Here is a 2,100-nt window from a genome sequence, read left to right as displayed (position 1 = left end):
AATCAGATGTAGATTTGGTCTTTTCACATAGTCCCATATTTCTTGGAGGGTTTGCTCATTTCTTTTTATTCTTTTTTCTCTAAACTTCCCTTCTCGCTTCATTTCATTCATTTCATCTTCCATTGCTGATACCCTTTCTTCCAGTTGATCACATCGGCTCCTGAGGCTTCTGCATTCTTCACGTAGTTCTCGAGCCTTGGTTTTCAGCTTCATCAGCTCCTTTAAGCACTTCTCTGTATTGGTTATTCTAGTTATACATTCTTCTAAATTTTTTTCAAAGTTTTCAACTTCTTTGCCCTTGGTTTGAATGTCCTCCCGTAGCTCAGAGTAATTTGATCATCTGAAGCCTTCTTCTCTCAGCTCGTCAAAGTCATTCTCCCTCCAGCTTTGTTCCGTTGCTGGTGAAGAACTGCGTTCCTTTGGAGGAGGAGAGGCGCTCTGCTTTTTAGAGTTTCCAGTTTTTCGGAGGAGCCAAGATGGCCGAATAGGAACAGCTCCTGTCTACAGCTCCCAGCGAAAGCGACGCAGAAGATGGGTGATTTCTGCATTTCCATCTGAGGTACCGGGCTCATCTCACTAGGGAGTGCCAGACAGTGGGCGCAGGTCAGTGGGTGCATGCACCATGCGCGAGCCGAAGCAGGGCGAGGCATTGCCTCACTCGGGAAGTGCAAGGGGTCAGGGAGTTCCCTTTCCTAGTCAAAGAAAGGGGTGACTGACGGCACCTGGAAAATCGGGTCACTCCCACCCAAATACTGCGCTTTTCCATTGGGCTTAAAAAACGGCACAGCACGAGATTATATCCCGCACATGGCTCGGAGGGTCCTACGCCCATGGAGTCTCGCTGATTGCTAGCACAGCAGTCTGAGATCAAACTGCAAGGCGGCAGTGAGGCTGGGGGAGGGGCGCCCGCCATTGCCCAGGCTTGCTTAGGTAAACAAAGCAGCCAGGAAGCTGGAACTGGGTGGAGCCCACCACAGCTCAAGGAGGCCTGCCTGCCTCTGTAGGTTCCACCTCTCGGGGCAGGGCACAGACAAACAAAAAGACAGCAGTGGCCGGGCGCGGTGGCTCACGCCTGTAATACCAGCACTTTGGGAGGCCGAGACGGGCGGATCACGAGGTCAGGAGATCGAGACCATCCTGGCTAACACGGTGAAACCCCGTCTCTACTAAAAATACAAAAATTAGCCGGGCATGGTGGCGCGTGCCTGTAGTCCCAGCTACACAGGAGGCTGAGGCAGGAGAATGGCGTGAACCCGGGAGGCGGAGCTTGCAGTGAGTCGAGATCGCGCCACTGCACTCCAGCCTGGGCGACAGAGCGAAACTCCGTCTCAAAAAAAAAAAAAAAAAAAAGACAGCAGTAACCTCTGCAGACTTAAATGTCCCTGTCTGACAGCTTTGAAGAGAGCAGTGGTTCTCCCAGCACGCAGCTGGAGATCTGAGAATGGGCAGACTGCCTCCTCAAGTGGGTCCCTGACCCCTGACCCCCGAGCAGCCTAACTGGGAGGCACCCCCCAGCAGGGGCACACTGACACCTCACACAGCAGGGTATTCCAACAGACCTGCAGCTGAGGGTCCTGTCTGTTAGAAGGAAAACTAACAAACAGAAAGGACATCCACACCAAAAACCCATCTGTACATCACCATCATCAAAGACCAAAAGTAGATAAAACCACAAAGATGGGGAAAAAAACAGACGAGAAAAACTTTTTGACTTTTAACAATGTCTTGAGAAAATGTCTTCTCTTACATTTTAATCACGTTTGATTGAACATTGACAGACAAAACAGATATTGAATAGTAGAATAACTTTCTAGTGTACATTATGTATATGTTGCATTATTTATTTTCATGTATCCACTTAAAGAAAATATGAACATCCTGCTTAGAATCGAGCTTCAGTTACATTAACACTTTCTTTTTGTTAATGCATTTCTGTAAACTGCATAATGATGTAATCAAGACATATCTAACACCTGTTCATAATACTTTTGAATTAAACCTAAAGATTATTTTGTAGGAAAATAATACATAAGAGATACTGCTCTGACTAATAATGCAAAACACATTTCAGAAATAGGAAACATAACTTGTCACTGAAGA

The 2,100-nt window shown here is 47.1% G+C and overlaps 2 annotated features.

The window, feature by feature from the left end:
* Nucleotides 310-1,095: an enhancer, noted in NCBI's record as "H3K27ac-H3K4me1 hESC enhancer chr13:106034971-106035756 (GRCh37/hg19 assembly coordinates)". NCBI's record gives its function as "activates a minimal SCP1, AML or CMV promoter by ChIP-STARR-seq in primed H9 embryonic stem cells {active_cell/tissue: H9 hESC(primed)}" and the evidence as "EXISTENCE:reporter gene assay evidence [ECO:0000049][PMID:30033119]".
* Nucleotides 1,096-1,882: an enhancer, noted in NCBI's record as "H3K27ac-H3K4me1 hESC enhancer chr13:106034184-106034970 (GRCh37/hg19 assembly coordinates)". NCBI's record gives its function as "activates a minimal SCP1, AML or CMV promoter by ChIP-STARR-seq in primed H9 embryonic stem cells {active_cell/tissue: H9 hESC(primed)}" and the evidence as "EXISTENCE:reporter gene assay evidence [ECO:0000049][PMID:30033119]".

The sequence above is a fragment of the Homo sapiens genome, chromosome 13 (genome assembly GCF_000001405.40).
Source record: "Homo sapiens chromosome 13, GRCh38.p14 Primary Assembly".
NCBI lineage: Eukaryota > Metazoa > Chordata > Mammalia > Primates > Hominidae > Homo > Homo sapiens.
Note: the sequence above shows the minus strand (reverse complement) of the source record. Positions and strands in the feature narration are given on the sequence as shown.